General features: G+C 47.6%; 1 protein-coding gene and 1 long non-coding RNA gene across 4 annotated transcripts in view, besides 1 other annotated feature; one reads left to right on the forward strand and one right to left on the reverse strand.

Annotated features, from left to right (window-relative positions):
- LOC105369621 (uncharacterized) overlaps positions 1-9406 on the forward strand; it is a 30421-nt gene extending 21015 nt beyond the window's left edge. Inside the window, exons 3-5 of the long non-coding RNA XR_931583.3 lie at positions 204-317; positions 7713-8039; positions 9005-9406. This is a non-coding gene — a long non-coding RNA (uncharacterized LOC105369621). The remainder of the gene's footprint in view (positions 1-203; positions 318-7712; positions 8040-9004) is intronic.
- The window catches only part of ANO2 (anoctamin 2), a 383578-nt gene that overhangs the window by 340250 nt on the left and 26956 nt on the right, over positions 1-16372 (reverse strand). The gene's annotated exons all lie outside the window — the stretch shown is intronic.
- Positions 5131-5631: an enhancer, noted in NCBI's record as "H3K4me1 hESC enhancer chr12:6017201-6017701 (GRCh37/hg19 assembly coordinates)". NCBI's record gives its function as "activates a minimal SCP1, AML or CMV promoter by ChIP-STARR-seq in primed H9 embryonic stem cells {active_cell/tissue: H9 hESC(primed)}" and the evidence as "EXISTENCE:reporter gene assay evidence [ECO:0000049][PMID:30033119]".

The following is a 16372-nucleotide window of genomic DNA, read 5'->3' on the forward strand; positions in this document are numbered from 1 at the left end:
GTTCTAGCTCAAACCAGGGCACAAAGGTGGGTGACTTATTGATGGACCCAGGAATGCAAAGGTCTCTATGATTTTAGCTGAGTCTTCCTAGGGACCATCCAGCTTCCTGGTGAGGTATATGACATGGGGGTCTTAGCTCTTGGAAGAGCTTTAGAGACTCTAGAAAGAAGGAAGGACAAAGGCTTCTGTCTTTCTGAATGCAGACTCTCCACAGCACCGGACAATTGCGCAGTGTTGAAGTCTCATGCTGGTCTGTAAAGCCAGGCCAGAAGAGGAACTGGGAATAATTAGGATGGGAGATTACATCCAACTTACAGGTAGGTCATCCCAGAGGCCAGAAAAAGACAAAAGAGTTTGAGGGATCTTTGGACCTGATATTAAGAAACTCTAAGAACAGCTAATCCTGAGCTTCTGATATATGCCAGGCACTGCACTGGGCTCTTTAACATACATTATATCATTTAATTATTTGTTTCCTGGACAAATATTAAGCACCCACTATGTGCCATCCTTCTTCAAAACAATTCAGCCAGATTACTTATACAGAGAAGAAAACTGAAGTGATGTGAAGTATCATATAATTTCCCCACGGTTATATGTCCTCTAGTGGCTCAGCTGAAATTCAGATTCTGGCTGGCATTCTCACTGTGCTTTACACCAGAACCTTCTTCTTCAAGAAACCTTCCCAGCTCTGCCACTCTTGGTTCCAAGCATTACAGTAAGACAGCTAGGATGTGCAAAGATGTGTGTGTGTGTGTGTGTGTGTGTGTGTGGGTGTAGACAGCAAGGTCTGTGCAGACAATTCACAATTATCCAAACTGGCAGAGATGATGAGTGGTAGCACAGATAAACCGCAGCCCTTTGGTCCTTTGGTCCTGGAGGGATTTGTACTCTGCATTTGAGAGTGGAAGATCCCAGCATATCTGTGTAATTCAGCCTGGTTTAGGCTAAGATTAATGACTGAATTAGCTCCCACTTCTGAGCATCCTAGCAGCAGGAAGGGGTGACCCAGAATGCAAGAGGTGGTGAGCAGATTAAGCACTCACCCTCCGTGAGTAGCCCCCACATGGAGGAAACCCACACATGTACATGGGTCATCCTGCATGACCCTGGGCAATTTCCTGCCTTCTGCTTTCTTCATTAAACACTGACCTCCCCAAATGTGCCCACCACATGATCATCCCCTCTTTCTTCATCCCAGAGCAATGCAGGCCTCTGTGCTTGAAGAGTGTTCCAGCCCAAATGTTGCCTGGCTGCTGCAGCATTAGTCTCCAATGTAAGCAGCTTATGGAAGCTGTAGTAAAGAAGGGGGGACTCCCATCTGGGACCATGGTCCTTGAAAAAGGAAAGAGCCAATATGATGTGATTTCCAGAACCTGCTCCACCTGCTGGTGCCCAATACACCACCATTCACCTAAGGCTTTGATCCCTGAGAAAAATGCAGCTGCCGCAAAGCAGGGTTACACTGAAGGGTCTGAATGAGTGGGATTGGAAGGAGGGAGAGTGATGGGAAAACCACATGGAAGGGAAGCCACAGAAGAGGAAGGCTGAGTGTGCCCAGGGCAGACGCCTCGCAGGCCCACCATCACCTCTCCTGATGCCTGTAGCACGAATGAGCGGCGCACACACCTGTGGGTTTATCCCAGTACTGCTTCCGGGGGCAGCTGACACTCCACATCGTCCTGTCCTCCCTGCCAGAGCCCCAGGTGACCCTGGTACCACACGGCCCCGACATGCCACAGCACCCGATGCTCCTTCTCGATCTTCAAATTTTGCAGTGTCATCCTCTAGCCTTGCTCCCCCTGGGAAGCCTTGCCACCTCTCACCCCTGCCTGCTGGCTCCAGACCCATACACCTGTCTCAGGGGCAGTCCTGAGCAGACTGATTCTCACCACAAACACAGCCCAAGGGTAATTAAAAGGTATCTGCAGGGATCCAGCTCTTTCCCAACCCACAAGCTCCCACCTAGGCTGACAGGAGGGAAGACAGGATCAGCAGAACAAAGGGAACAGGGAACAAAATGATAAGAAGAGGATACTCTCAAGTTCAGAGGTGTTCTTCTCCTCCCCTGAACTTTCTTAAGTGGCTGACAATCCAAACAGTGGACTCTAGGACTCCCCTTTCCCCATGCCAAGCTCAGACAGCAGGAACCTCATCCCTGGAGAGGGAGGACACGGCAGTGACTGAGAGCTCAGGCTCAGGGTTTGAATCCCTCACTGGCAGCAAGGGTTCCCAGGGGGGTGAGGCTGGGGGATAACGCTGAAAGAATTGAAGGGAGCACCAGGTGCTGTTGCGTGTTAGGGCCGTGTGGCACCTGGAGCCACCTGGGGCTCTGGCAGGGAGGACGGTGTGGAATGTCAGCTCCCCCATCACCCTGGGGGCAGTGCTGGGATGACCCTGATCAAGTTATGTAACTTTGGTTTTCTTATCTGCAAAATAGGGGCAGTGGTAGTATACGCTTCATGGAGTGGTTTTAAAGATTAAATGAGTTACTTTATGTTCCTAGCACAGTAGAAGCATCTCTTATTACTAATAACTTCAAAAGCAGAAGTACAGGGATCAGAGAGGGAGGGGCCCAAGATTCATGAGGCCCCAGTGGCAGGAAAGAGAGAGCAGGTATTCCTGGCAACACTGAATAGGAAGTTCCTGATGACTGGAAAAGATCCCACCACCAGAGAAGCTTTCAGGACAAGGAGACAGTGCCTGACATACTGTCCCTAGGAAATCATGTCTGCGTCTTTTTTCTGAAGAGCCCATGACAAATCCAAGTCCATGACAAAGTAATCATTATGACCTTGGAATCTGCCCAATGGCACAGAGCCAGAGAGGGTTGAAAGAAAGAAGAGAAGGCCAGAACTAGAAAAGAAGGAAGGGTGGAAAGATACAAAAAAAATCTGCTAACACCCCAGGGCTCAACCTCTTTCCCCAACAGGTCACCAAATCCCCAAAACACTGGACCAGATGACAGCCTGTTCAGGGACTCAGGTTCACCCTACAGGTCTCCTCTCTCTCACCTTCTCTCCCCTATCCCTTCATCCCACCCCGGCTTCTAGCTTTCTCTCTTCGGGCGTCTCCTCAGGGTGGGTGGCTCTGAGCGGGCTGCAGATTGCTGTGGTGTTTTCTTCCCAGACTGAGGAAGGAGATGGGAGAACCAAAGGCAATACTGCTATTGAATGAGAGGCAGGAATTGGAGAAGGTTTCAGTGCAGGAAAAGGATAGGAGCTGACACACAGAGATCCCAGGCTGCTATAATTGGGGGCAGGGCTAGGAGAAGGCACCAAGGGCTTCCTCTCCAGTTGGCCTTCCCTGTCAACTCAAGCTCCTGGGCATCTCTGCCTCCTGGAGCAACTCTACAATGTATTATCTTTGCTAGGCATTATGCTTTGAATCATTCAACAAACAGCACTAAAGGCTATTATATTATCAATATGTCACACATTGTTAAAAAAAAAAAAAAAAGAAAAAGAAAAAAAGAGGCCATCCATGGTGACTCACACCTGTAATCCCAGTACTTTGGGAGATGGTAGGATCACTTGAGGCCAGGAGTTCAAGAGCAGCCTGGTCAACAGCATAGCAAGACCCCATCCCTATTTTTCAAAAATAAAATAAAGGCCAGGCGCAGTGGCTCATGCCTGTAATCCCAGCACTTTGGGAGGCCAAGGCGGGCAGATCACGAGGTCAAGAGATTGAGACCATCCTGGCCAACACAGTGAAACCCAGTCTCTACTAAAAATACAAAAATTAGCTGGGCATGGTGGTGCGCACCTGTAGTCCCAGCTACTCAGGAGGCTGAGGCAGGAGAATCACTTGAACCTGGGAGGTGGAGGTTGCAGTGAGCCAAGATCGCACCACTGCACTCCAGCCTGGTGACAGAGTGAGACTCTGTCTCAAAATAAATAAATAAATAAATAAATAAAAATAAAATAAATAGAAATAAAAATAAATTAGAAAGACACAGTCTCTGTTCTAAAAGTCTTCAATCCATTCAGCGGCAAGCATAGCTCTAGAAGGTGTACTAGGTGCTTTGGTAATGTTGCCCAAGTACAGAATGAGAGGCATTAGATGATGGATGGATGCAACATAGCATCAAATAACATTTTTAAATAACAAGAAAGTCCGTTTTCAATTATCCTGCAAAAATAAAGTCTCCGTTTGTTTCCAATATGTCTTTAACCTCTCTGATGCTAGCTAAGCTTCCTTCTCAACAAAGAGTAAGCAGGCCCCGGTCTCGGATCTCCTGCAGCCAACAGTATCCAGCTAGAAATGAATGATGTCGTTTTGTTTCGGTTGTGCCTATTTTTATAATTATTGTCTATCTGTTGGCCAGTGATATTGGTTCTCCATTTCTGATAATGATAGAATGTTTCCCTTTAAAATAAATTTAAGTTTCAAAAGTGAGCCAATTTAACAAAAATATTCAGCAAATAATAGTCCAGATAGTAAATGGCTACGCCTAAAATTAGGAATCTAGTAAGTAGTGGTATTCAAACTCATAATCATGGTATTCAAATAACCAGTATTTGTGAAACCTTTTACTCTGGGAGCCCAGAAAAGAGGCAATTGGCACATATGCCTTGAACTGTTAACTCTCTGTTCATGAATTTTCTAATTTCCTAACAAGACAGTAAACTCCCTGCACCTTCTCCCTTTGGGGATGCCTAATCCACTCATCAAGCAGTTTCATTCATTCAGAAAATAGGAAGGGAATTCAACTCAGCCCATAAAGAGGGGGAAAAAAAAAGGAAAATTGAAGCACAAAGGTAGACAGGGTGGGAGAGCCAACTTTGGCTTATTTTATGACACATTACAATTCATGAAGTATTTCGCCCATGAACGGTGTGGGCTACAGATCCCAGATAAGAAAATAGACCCGGCATGGCTAAGAACCTTGCACAAAGACACACATCAGTGAACCTGGCCCTTCACTCTCCATACCCTAAGTTCTTCTTGCTACATCGTGCTCCTGGGGAGCCCAGTGGGGAAGGCAGCTCCCACGCATACCACTGATGCTCTCAGCCTTCAGCAGGCAGAGCTGGGATGCCAGACCCTGCTCACAGGCGTGGCCTGAGTTGGTCTGAATGCAACCTCCCCAACTCCACAATGCACCGTGAGAGCAGTACATAGCAACACACACAAACTCGTAACCACGCACGGGCAGCGTGTGCAGGGAGCCAGCAGCAAACCCACACCAGCTCCGAGGACCCTGGGGCTTCCACTCTGAAGCCTTTGGGGGTTCCCGTGTCTGCAGAGAACAACAGAAAAGCACACCCATCAAATTCCACTCCTTCTGTTTCCTGTTCCTGAAAAGCTGCTAAGACTCACAGGTCCTCTCTGAGGCCTGAGAAGCCTTCACCCTCCAACGGCCTGTGGATGAGCTAAGTGTAAGTTCCCTGGGCTGGAAGAGCCCAGAAAGAACGGATCAACAGCATGGGCTAAAATATCCACGGTCAAACAGACCTCAGCCCTTACCACCTGAGAATAATCAATTCCTGAGTGGAAACTCAACAAGGCAGTAATACGAACACCAGCAGTCACCCTATCCAAGCCGAGAGTCCGACTGCCCAGGGTGCTGGGCTGGACAGAAAGTCCAACTGCTGGCCACAGTGGAGTGGTTTGCAGTAGCCGAGACTCCCAACCCAGTGATGCTCAAGGAATGGTAAACACATTCTGGGAGACATCAGAATGGACCCAGGGTTCCCTAGGAGGCATTAGGCCATAAATGGCAATTTCCATGAATCATCATGGAACCCTCTGACTTTAGCTAAGCTCCTGGGCAAGCCAAGAGAGGTAAGAGAAGATGAGGCCTCCTAAGTGCATCTGTCCCGCTCAGCAGACAGTGACACAGCTAACATCCCCAACAGCTGCTCTTCCTTTTGCTTCCATTGTAACTGTCGCTTTGTTTTCCCTTACAATTGTGTGCACAGAATAGGGAAGGCAGGGAATAAGTGGGGTGCACCATTGCTTGTATTGGTGCCTGAATGTAAACAGGAGCATTATCTCCTCTGGAGAATGGCCTTCACTCCACACAGAATCATGAGTCCACTCAGAACAAGGGTCATCCGCCTTTTGAGCAGAATGCATCATTACACGCTGTAGGTCCACAAAATAGCAGAGCAGGAAGGGGCCCTGGAGACTGGTGGGAGCTAGGAGAACATGCACAGATCATGATGCTGTTTGCAAGATCCTTTACAAAGGTTCTTAACGTACCAGCATGCTTAATTCCACCATTAAAACTAGGAATAATTCTGTAGAAAAACCCACAACCCAAACTAAGCCTAGAAATTAAACATGATTGGCCAATTCCACATGCTCCCATTAATATTCTCTCACTTCTCACCCACTCCTTTTGCCCTCAACAAGTACTTACTGGCAGGCAAGGGGTAACAGCTTCCAAAGGTTTAACAAAAAGATATGTTAGAACAACTGTAAATTGAGAAAACTATCTTTATTCATGTTACTTTTTAGTAAATTGCAAAAACTTTATCAATTTTTTTATTTTGGTATAGACTACCTTACTCCAAGTCATGGGAAGACAGTACTGTCAGATACATAGCTGGAGAATCCCTGATTTCACACCCAACCTTCCCTTTTTCCAGAATAGAAGTCGAGATCCAGAGAGAAGCCAGTTGGCAGCAGACAAGGTCCTAGAACCCAGGTCTTCCAGTGCTCAGCTCCCTTCTTGGGTTCAGGCACACCATGGACTAAACAACATGCTTCCAAAGTGCAGTTAGCTGTGCACACGGAGAGGCAGCTGCACAGCAGCACACAGGAGCCCAGCATCATCCCGTGCCCCACAAGTGCACCTGCAGCAGGACTCTTCAGGAGCCCTCTCTGGGCAGTGCGTGCCCAGAGAGCAGGCGGTGGGCGTTCCTATTTGATCTCCCTTCATACAGCAGCCAGGCAGGACTGCCATGCTCTACCTAAGGCTTCTCCTAGGCTTTGGGGAATATGTTCAAGGGCATGTAGGCATTTTGGGGCCATGGAATGGAACCTCAGGACAGTCAGATGAAATCTATGGACCCTACTCAGAATGTTTTTAAATGTATAAAATAATTATCCGAGGCAACAAGGAGACTAAATGTATAGAAACAGAGTTATCCAAATAGTTAAACATAAATTTGTGATATAGTAATAGACTTCCTTCTCTATTAACACATGAAATAATGAGACCTAGAGACACATCTAAAAATTGGCATAATTTCTAAGTACAAATGAGTATAATTTGTTTTCGAGATTTGTGCAACAAATTTGATATGATACAAATCTATGTGTTTGTTCTTGTTGTTTTGTTTTTTGAGACAGTCTCACTCTGTCACCCAGGCTGGAGTGCAGTGGCACAATCTCGGCTGACTGCAATCTCTGCCTCCTGGGTTCCAGCGATTCTCGTGCCTCAGCCTCTGGAGTAGCTGGATTACAGGCACGTGCCACCAAGCCTGGCTAATTTTTGTATTTTTAGTAGAGACAGGGTTTCACCATGTTGGCCAGGCTGGTCTTGAACTCCTGACCTCAGTGGATCCACCCATTTAGGCCTCCCAAAGTATTGGGATTACAGGTGTGAGCCACAGAACCTGGCCTCTATGTGTTACTTCTATTAGTGACAGTCACAGGAACTCATCTTAATGTAGGTTTTTGCCTATATTATTAATTGAAGTAAATACTAAATGTCAGTTAAATGTTGATGAAAATAAAGATGTAATTTTCTATCATTCAAGTTTGTGGATTCTACCCCTGAATTCTATCCACAAAACCCTCAAGATTCAAGAACCCTTGATGCTGTCATATGGCCCCAGGAGTCATCAGATATAAGCACCCTAAGAAGCTGTCCAGGGGTAGCAGGGAGACTCTGTCTTCAGTGAAGGAGGACACTTAAGGCTGAAGTGGCCCCAAGAACCACCCTCATCATCTGTCAAGCCCAGATATAACCATTCTGTATCCTCAGACCTCAAAGCCTTAAAGACTCTGTCTACCACGTACACCACCCACTTCAGCTAAACCTTTCACACTTGCACAGTCCACGCCAGCATCTCAGCATCCTGAGGGTGAGTTCTTCCTGGAGATCTGACAAGGGTAGGAAACAGAGCTCACCCACTCCTGCTGGACCCCAGCATCTGCGGGCAGGGAGAGGGAAGTTGATTTCACCCAGACCTTCACAACAGAGTTAAGCCTTCCCAGTCCATCAGACCATCGGTCACTCTCCCAGGACTCTTTTCTCACCTCTGTTACTGCACTTTTAGACCCTATTTGATTCTCCCAGGTCAGGTCTGCTTCCCTTGAAAGCAGGGGCCATGTCTTATTCACCTCAGCATCCTCAGCTCCCAGCCCACCCAGGACCCAGCACCTAGTAGGTGCTCAGTAAATGTCTGCTACATGAAAAGCAGGAGAGAGGGGCCAGAGACTGAGCCTGGCAGGTCCCTCCTGGCAGTTGCTTTACAGCTGCTGTGACTGCCCAACCAGCCCCAGACCGATAAAGACCCTGAACTTATCAAGTGACAAATGCAGAAGGGCTTTCCTTCTCAATGTGTGTCTCAGAGCCCAAAACATCTAGCAGTGCCATGAAGAGGGACGATTAGCAAGATAGAAACCAACTGTCCCCCGAGTCTCTCTTCACCAAATGCAGACATTGATGTGAATGACAGTAGGAAGCACGGGTGATACTCAAGATATTTAACAACCAGCATAACACATTGCGAATCAGGGCAGGCACCAGCCACGAACACCAAGTACAGTCGTACCAGGAATACCAGTCAGATAGGGAGATAATAACTTTGCTAGGAGGAAGACAGACTAACGCAAGGAAGCCAGACTCCCTTAGCTTATTTGTCTGCATAGACTCTATAATGTCAGTATTTAATCTGATTAAGGCATTAACCAGCAGTCTGACCTTGTGCCAGTCACATATTCTCTCTGGGCTTCAGTTCCCGCTCTAAGATGAAATTGAAAGAAATTATCCAAGCTGTTGTTACAACTATAATGTCCTATGATCCCATCTTCTCACACATCACAGGTGGCACCCAGTAACAAAGAAAATCAGCAAAGCACACAGCTGGCTAAGGTGATGCACAGACCAGAAACCCTTGACAAGGACAACCGTGACATTCGTTGAGCCATAGCATCTGGTACTGCAGTTTGGGATATGGCAGATCAAAGCCCAGAAACCTCCTTCCAACCCCTTCTGAGGAATCCTAGAGATCTCCAGAAGCACCCTGTCAGTTGGTAAAAGACTCCAGACATAAAGGACTTGGTAAAGAGCCACACCCAGCTCCCTTCCTCCTCCGTGTAAACCCTCAGCCTGCTTTTCACTAGACCCACTGCCCAGCTTTGTGCAAAACCTGGACACTGCTCATCTCTGTGGCTGGGTGAGTGCCACCTCCTGGGGAGTATGAGAGAATAAAGAACAAGAGGAGCAGAAGCAAGAAGACCTTATTTCAAGGCCCAGCCCTGCTACTCACCCACTTGACAAGGTGCTTTACGTTTCCTAGTCGGTGAGAAGGGACATTAGCTGCTCTAACCTCCTCAGGGTTGGGGAGGTTGGGGTGGGGGGAGGCTAAAACGAGCATCAGAGGAGAATGCTGAAGGTTAATGTTTTCATTATAGAGTCTTTGGAGATGGAAATAGACATGTACCTGGATTTGGGGGCTTGGAGGCTTGCCTTGCCCCTCCCTGCTTTCCCTGTGCATCCCCACCCCAGGCTGCCCGGAGGCGTCCCCTCTGAGATCAAATCCAGCCAGCCCTACTGTGCCTCCCTGTCTCAGCTGTGCGGTCCCAGGGGCAGGGGCTGCAGAGTTCTTTGTTGTGTTCCCCAAAGATCCCTCGGGGTAGGAAAGAGGCAAGGGAGAAGCCCAAGGTCCCAGCCTGCTGCCTCAGGGTGGGACAAGCAGGACAGGAACACAGCCAAAGCCAGAGGGAAATCATCGCATCTTCCCCAGTCATTAGTGTGAGCAGCAGCGGCACGACTGTTCCTACACTCAGGAGAGCATGGCAGCGTCACGAATAAACAGTAGAGACGAGGGCATCATTAAAACCCATATTTGCATTTTCCCTGCGTTTGCTATATCCTTTCCTAGGAACACAAGCAACCATCCCACTCCAGAGGAGAAAATAGCCTCATTTTATAATGGAGTCAATGGGGGCCTGGAGATCCCCATCCCATAGAAATACACCACGCCCCGATCCAGCACCAGCAGCCTGCCCTCTGTGGATGTCCAAGACGGAGCAACGGGCAGGAAGGCCTCCAGGGGACGCTGTCACCCTAGAAAACCAAACAGCAAGGTTTTCCTAAGGATTCTAAGCCCTAGTTTCCCCAGCAAAGCAAAACCAAGCCAGACTTGAGAATTATAAGAGGAGAACTGCTTCAAGACAAGTTTTATATAGGTAAGAGTGAGGAAGACAGCGGCAAGTCTGAGTGTTCGCCCTGTGAGGTGATGGACTGATCTGGGTCCCAAAAAATGGTCACCCAGGGCCAACCTGTGCTTCAGAGGCCACAGAGCAGCCTCCAGGGAGGGCAAAAAGCCCAGAGTCCAGTGGGCTCACGGCCCTGGCGCCACACGCTCCTTCTGGAAAGGAAGAATAGGTACTCCGTAAATCAGTCCCGCTTTGAATACGTAACTGCTGACCTCTGCAGAGAATCTCTGTGAATTCTGGGGAGGGAGGAAGAGAAAACTACTATAAAGTGCTTGGTTGGTTCTCCTCGGGATGACAAGGATCCCAGAAGCTCCAAAGCTCAGACAGGGTCCAAATCCCAGCAGGACCCCTTAGTGGCAGCGTGACCTTGGCCAAGCCACTTGGCCTGTCTCCTCCAAGATGGGAATAACAGCCCCTTGCAGGGTATTCATGAAGACTAAATGAGCACAAGTGAAAGCAAAACCACACGTGATGAGGCTCACAAAAGGCACTCAGAAAAGTCCGTTTTCTTCCTTAAAACCATAGATTAAATCTCACTCTAAAGACAGAATTTCTGAAAGTCACCCCGACCTCTTCCTGAAAAGGAGGTGGAAAGTGGGATGGCGACAGAGCCTGAGAAACAGTGGCAGCTGGTTTTAAGAAAGTGAAGCCTTTGGGACGCCGAGACAGGCGGATCACACAGTCAGGAGTTGGAGACCAGCCTCAGCAACATGGTGAAACCCTGTCTCTACTAAAAATACAAAAATTAGCTGGGCATGGTGTTGTGCACCTGTAATCCCAGCTACTCAGGAGGCTGAGGCAGGAGAATCACTTGAACCCGGGAGGCGGAGGTTGCAGTGAGCCAAGATTGCGCTACTGCACTCCAGCCTAGGTGACAGAGTGAGACTCCATCTCAAAAAAGAAAAAAAGAAAAAAGAAAGTGAGGCGACATTCTGATTTTCTCAGTCCTCTCTGCTAAATGGGCCTCCCTGGGAGGGCACGATGTCACACACCCAAGATATCCCCCTTTGACTCAGTGCTGCAATTCAGGTTGAGATGCCAGACATCCAGGCTCTGCCAGACCTACAGGGTGAGGAGTCAGGGGTCAGAGACATCTCATGGCATAGGAGGAGGGAGTCTCCTCTCTGCAGAGAAAGGATTTGGGAAATTCCTGGATTCACACCTGATACCGAGACAGAGTAGGGCTCCACCTCCCGAAAGCAGCTGTGGGCCCCCAGACTTCCCTGATGGTACGCTGTCCCTTCCAAGAACAGCCCGTAGACCTGCTGGCGATGCCAGGCCACGCTGAATTTTAAAGCCAACTTCTGCTATCAGTTCCCTGGTGGTCCCTCAATCTCAAGAAAGCCAGCCCCTAGTAAGGGGGCACCTGGCCTCCCTGTCATGCCATTCTCCATTTCCAATTTCAGCTATCTAGCTGCCCACAAGGATGAAGCTTGGGGCCATGTCTGCTAGGATTTCAGGGCCTGCAAGGTGAGAGGTCTTTAGCTAAAAGTCTACAAACATGCCCTCCTGGCTTCCACAGGATTGTACTGTGCCTGGTTCTCAGACCCCTCCCTCAGGTGCCCCTGGTGACACCCATGCATGTGAGTCTCTGCCTCTGCCCTGCTCGCTCTCTGGGTCAAAGCAGGAGGTTTCTTTAAGAGAGAGTGGGAGGAGGTGGGCCGACCAGACCTCCCCAGAGCTGTGTCAGAGCCTGTTCAGCTCACCCACTCGCAGTCCCGCCAGGACTACAGGAAACTCTCTGGACGCTCAAGGCTGGGGCAGTCTCCTGAACTGCTTAAATTAGCCCCCAACTCTGACACAATGCACAGCACCAACAGGTGGCCCTCATTTATATGAATTGGTAGGGTGCAGACGTCTCTGTCACCCATAAGCATCTCCAACGACGTCTTTAAATGAAATTCTAATCAAACGGTCAAACTAAGAAAGCAAATGTTCATACTTGAAAGAAAATTTAGTATTTTATCAAATGACATATAAAGACATTTGATAAAATGCTGAATTGTCTTTAAAATATGAACATGGACAATATCAATACATGGAAATATGCACAAAAAATGAAAAAGTGAAATGCCAAATGGAAGGTATGTGCCAATTATCATCCTGTCAAAAGCATGCCCAGGTATCAAGGAGGGTGGGAAGTGAATTATCTGCTATTCAAACAGAGTTCAGTGGATGCGAAGTTCTTTTGATCTGTAAGGCTAAGTGAATCATTTTTAATGGGTCTCTGATAGGAACCCATTTGCTCTCCATTTGCCTTAAAGTCAATGAACCCAGAGCCTAAAAGATTGCCCAGCTCAGAAGGGTGGGACAGCTGAGCAGGTGGGGCCACCGCACCTACTGTTCAAACTGCCACCAGGTGCAGTCAAGCAAGTCTCCCTCTCCTGTGAAGCCCCCATTCCAGGCTGCTGCTCACAGCCAAGGCCAAGCATCTTAACATGGTGAAAAGTTGTTCAGAACCTCACAGCCTCTAGCTGATGAATCTCCAAGCACAGTTTAACACCAACATGGCATGGAGGGAGCAGGGGATATCACAGAATGCTGCCCCAAAGGAGGCGACGATTCATTCTCGATCCTTTTTTTCAGTGGCACACAACTGGAAGCAACCTAAGTGTTCATTATTACTAGGGGAGTGACTAGGTACACTGTGGTGGCTGCAAACTGCTCATTCATTAAAATAATGGAGTCTGGCCAGGCACTGTGGATCACCCCTCTAATCCCAGCACTTTGGGAGGCTGAGGTGGGTGGATCTCTTGAGGTCAGGAGTTCAAGAACAGCCTGGGCAACATGGTGAAGCCCCGTCTCTACAAAAAATACAAAAATTAGCTGGGCATGGTGGCACACACCGCTGGTCCCAGCTACTCAGGAGGCTGAGGCAGGAGGATCACCGGCACCTGGGGAGTTGAGCCTGCAGTGAGCTGAAATCACACTGCTGCAATCCAGCCTGGGTGACAGAGTGAGGCCTGGTCTCAAAAATAAATAAAAATAAAATAATGGAATCAATGTACATGCAGAACGTGAATGGATCTGAAAAATAAAGTGCTAGAGAAAAAAGTAAAAAACAGAATGGGCTATAAAACAGTACCTTCTATGTAAATTAAGAATGCATACAGTTCTGAGAAACTGTCACCACCAAGAGAAGTCTTAGGAGACCTGACAACTCTGAATAGAAAAATCGCAGCAGGTTAAAAAAAAAAAAAAAAAAAAAGGCAGCAGTAAGGAAATCTGAATAAAGTGTGAATTTTAGTTAATGATAATGTGTCAGTATTAGTTCATTAACTGTAACAAATGTATCCTATTAATGTAAGGTGTTAATAATACAGGAAACTGGGAATGGGGTAGATGGAAACTCTGTACAATCTTCCAATTTTTCTGTACATCTAAAACTGTTCTACACAATAAAGTCTTTTTTTTAATTTAAAAAAAAAAACAAAACACTGTATCTTTTCCAGAACGACGATGCCTTGGAATGACTGCCTGCGAGGTAGCAGGCAGTGCAGAGTCAGGGGGAGATTTAAATAAATAACCCAAGTTATTGTGCAGATCAGTGATAGTAATGTGCCATGGCTGAAAAGTAAACTCAACGCTTTACACGCGAGGTCCCAGCACAGATCATAATAACTACCTTTTGGAAGACAGAGACAACGCTGCAAGACAGTAGGCCACAATGAGAGGTGGAAGTCTGATGACAGGGACGCTGGGGGAGGCTGTGTCACCTGGAGTAGCCTCATGAAGAAGTGCTGAGTGGCCTTGAAGCCATGGGTGGGGGCTGAGAGGGAGGAGTCTGGGTGGTTATACAACAGGAACAACAATCCAGGACCCCAGTCTAACACTGGTCAGTCGCAAGAGCCATCTCTTTGCCCTCCAAATTCCCAGCCAAAGCGGGGAACATCTGACAGAAACCAGAATGAAGCATGGTGGGGAGACGGGGGCAGCCAAGATGGGCAGTGGTGTTGATAGTAGCATTAAGGGTGGCCAGGACCATTACATTTTAATTTCAGATCCATAGTGAATAATTTTTAGTGTATGTCCCCAATATTTCATTGTACATGCTAAGAAAAAAAAAAGTATTCACTGTTGAACTGAAACTCAAATTTAACTAGGCATGCTGCATTTTTGTTTGCTAAACCTGGCAACAGTAAATAATAATAATAGCAGTAATATTCTTTGTTAGTGTTCTAGGTACTTTATTTAGTTACCTTGTTTCATCTTCATAATAACCCAGTGAAGAAAGTACTGTTATTATTATTCTCTTTTTTCTTTTTTTTTTTTTTTTTTTGGAGACAGGGTCTTGCTCTGTCACCCAGGCTGGAGTGTAGTGGTGCCATCTCAGCTCACTGCAACTTCCACCTCCAGAGTTCAGGCAATCCTCCTGCCTCAGCCTCCAGAGTAGCTGCGACTACAGATGCGCACCACCACACCCAGCTAATTTTTTGTATTTTTAGTAGAGACAGGTTTTCACCGTGTTGGCCAGGCTGGTCTCAAACTCCTGACCTCAAGCAATCCATCCAACTCACCGTCCCAAAGTGCTGAGATTACAGATGTGAGCCACTGCAACCAGACCTGTTATTTCCTTTTTATAGACCAGGAAGCTTTACCAAAAGGATGAGGTAAGCTAAGCAAGGTCATGAGCTAGTAAGTCAGGCCTGGAATGTGAACATATGTAATTGGCCTTAAGAGCTCACTCTCTTGAGCACAGACATACTGCTTCCCAACCAGGCAGCTGAGTGAAGCCCTGGCCTCTGCTCCCTAAGACCCAACAACAGAGGTACGCACCACAGCTCCCACATTGGTAAGTTCCTGGAGCGAGAATGCATCTTCACCTTGGAGAGACCATCTCAGCAGACCCCAGCTGGAGCCACCAAGTGAGCTCTGGGTTTCAAAAAGTGAAAATCAGCACTCCCACAGCAAGGAAGCCTAACGCATCCCTAAGAGAGCTCCCTCTTCCTACATGGGTGGAAAGACTAACCCAGGAAGAATGTCTTCTGCCTTAAGGGTCTGGCAAAGCAGCACAGGCCAGCACCATGAGGCATGAGCCAGGCCACATGCCATTCTGCCTAGGGACAGGGGAAAGGAAAGGATGAATGACCTCTGGGGATCCCTTCCAGTTTGAGGAAAGCATTAACTTGAATCTTTTTTTTTTTTTTTTTTTGAGACAGAGTCTCCCTCTGTCGCCCAGGCTGGAGTGCAGTGGCACAATCTCAGCTCACTGCAACCTCCACCTCCCGGGTTCAAGCGATTCTTCTGCCTCAGCCTCCCAAGTAGCTGGGACTACAGGCAAGCACCATCACGCCTGGCTAACTTTTTGTATTTTTAGTAGAGACAGTGTTTCACCATATTGGCCAGGCTGGTCTTGATCTCTTGACCTCATAATCCTCCAGCCTCAGCCTCCCAAAGTGCTTGGATTACAGGCATGAGCCACCACACCCAGCCAACTTAAATCTTATCAGGCAAACTTCTGATGAAAATGGCACCTCAAGCCTCAGCATGACACCTTTTAAAATCATCATGATGAGCATTTATTGAGCACCTATTATGTACCAGACATTGTGCTGAAATTTTCATTGCTCCATCTAATGATGAGGCATGTTTAAGTATAATCCAGCAAGGCATCTATTACTTTGCAGATAAGGGACCTGAGGTTCAGGGAGGTCACTCATATACTCAGCTGACACTTATTAAGCACCTATATGTGCCAGAGTCTGTCCTGGGTGCTGGGGATGTGCAGCGAGCCAAACAAGATCTCTGCCTTCATGGAGCTAGTGGGAGCACAGATAAAAAACAAACAAAAAAAGTCTATCATTGTTATTCCAGGTGGCAATGCTGAGTGTGATGAAGAAAAGTAAGGCAGGATCGAGGGACAGAGAGGGACGGGGTGGGGGTATTTTGGCTAGGATGGTCAGGGAAGATGTCAGGAAGGAGGTGACATTTGAGCAGAGAGCTGAAGAGAGGGAATGTGATGCACAGGTCT

Source organism: Homo sapiens, chromosome 12, assembly GCF_000001405.40.
Source record: "Homo sapiens chromosome 12, GRCh38.p14 Primary Assembly".
Classification (NCBI taxonomy): Eukaryota; Metazoa; Chordata; class Mammalia; order Primates; family Hominidae; genus Homo; species Homo sapiens.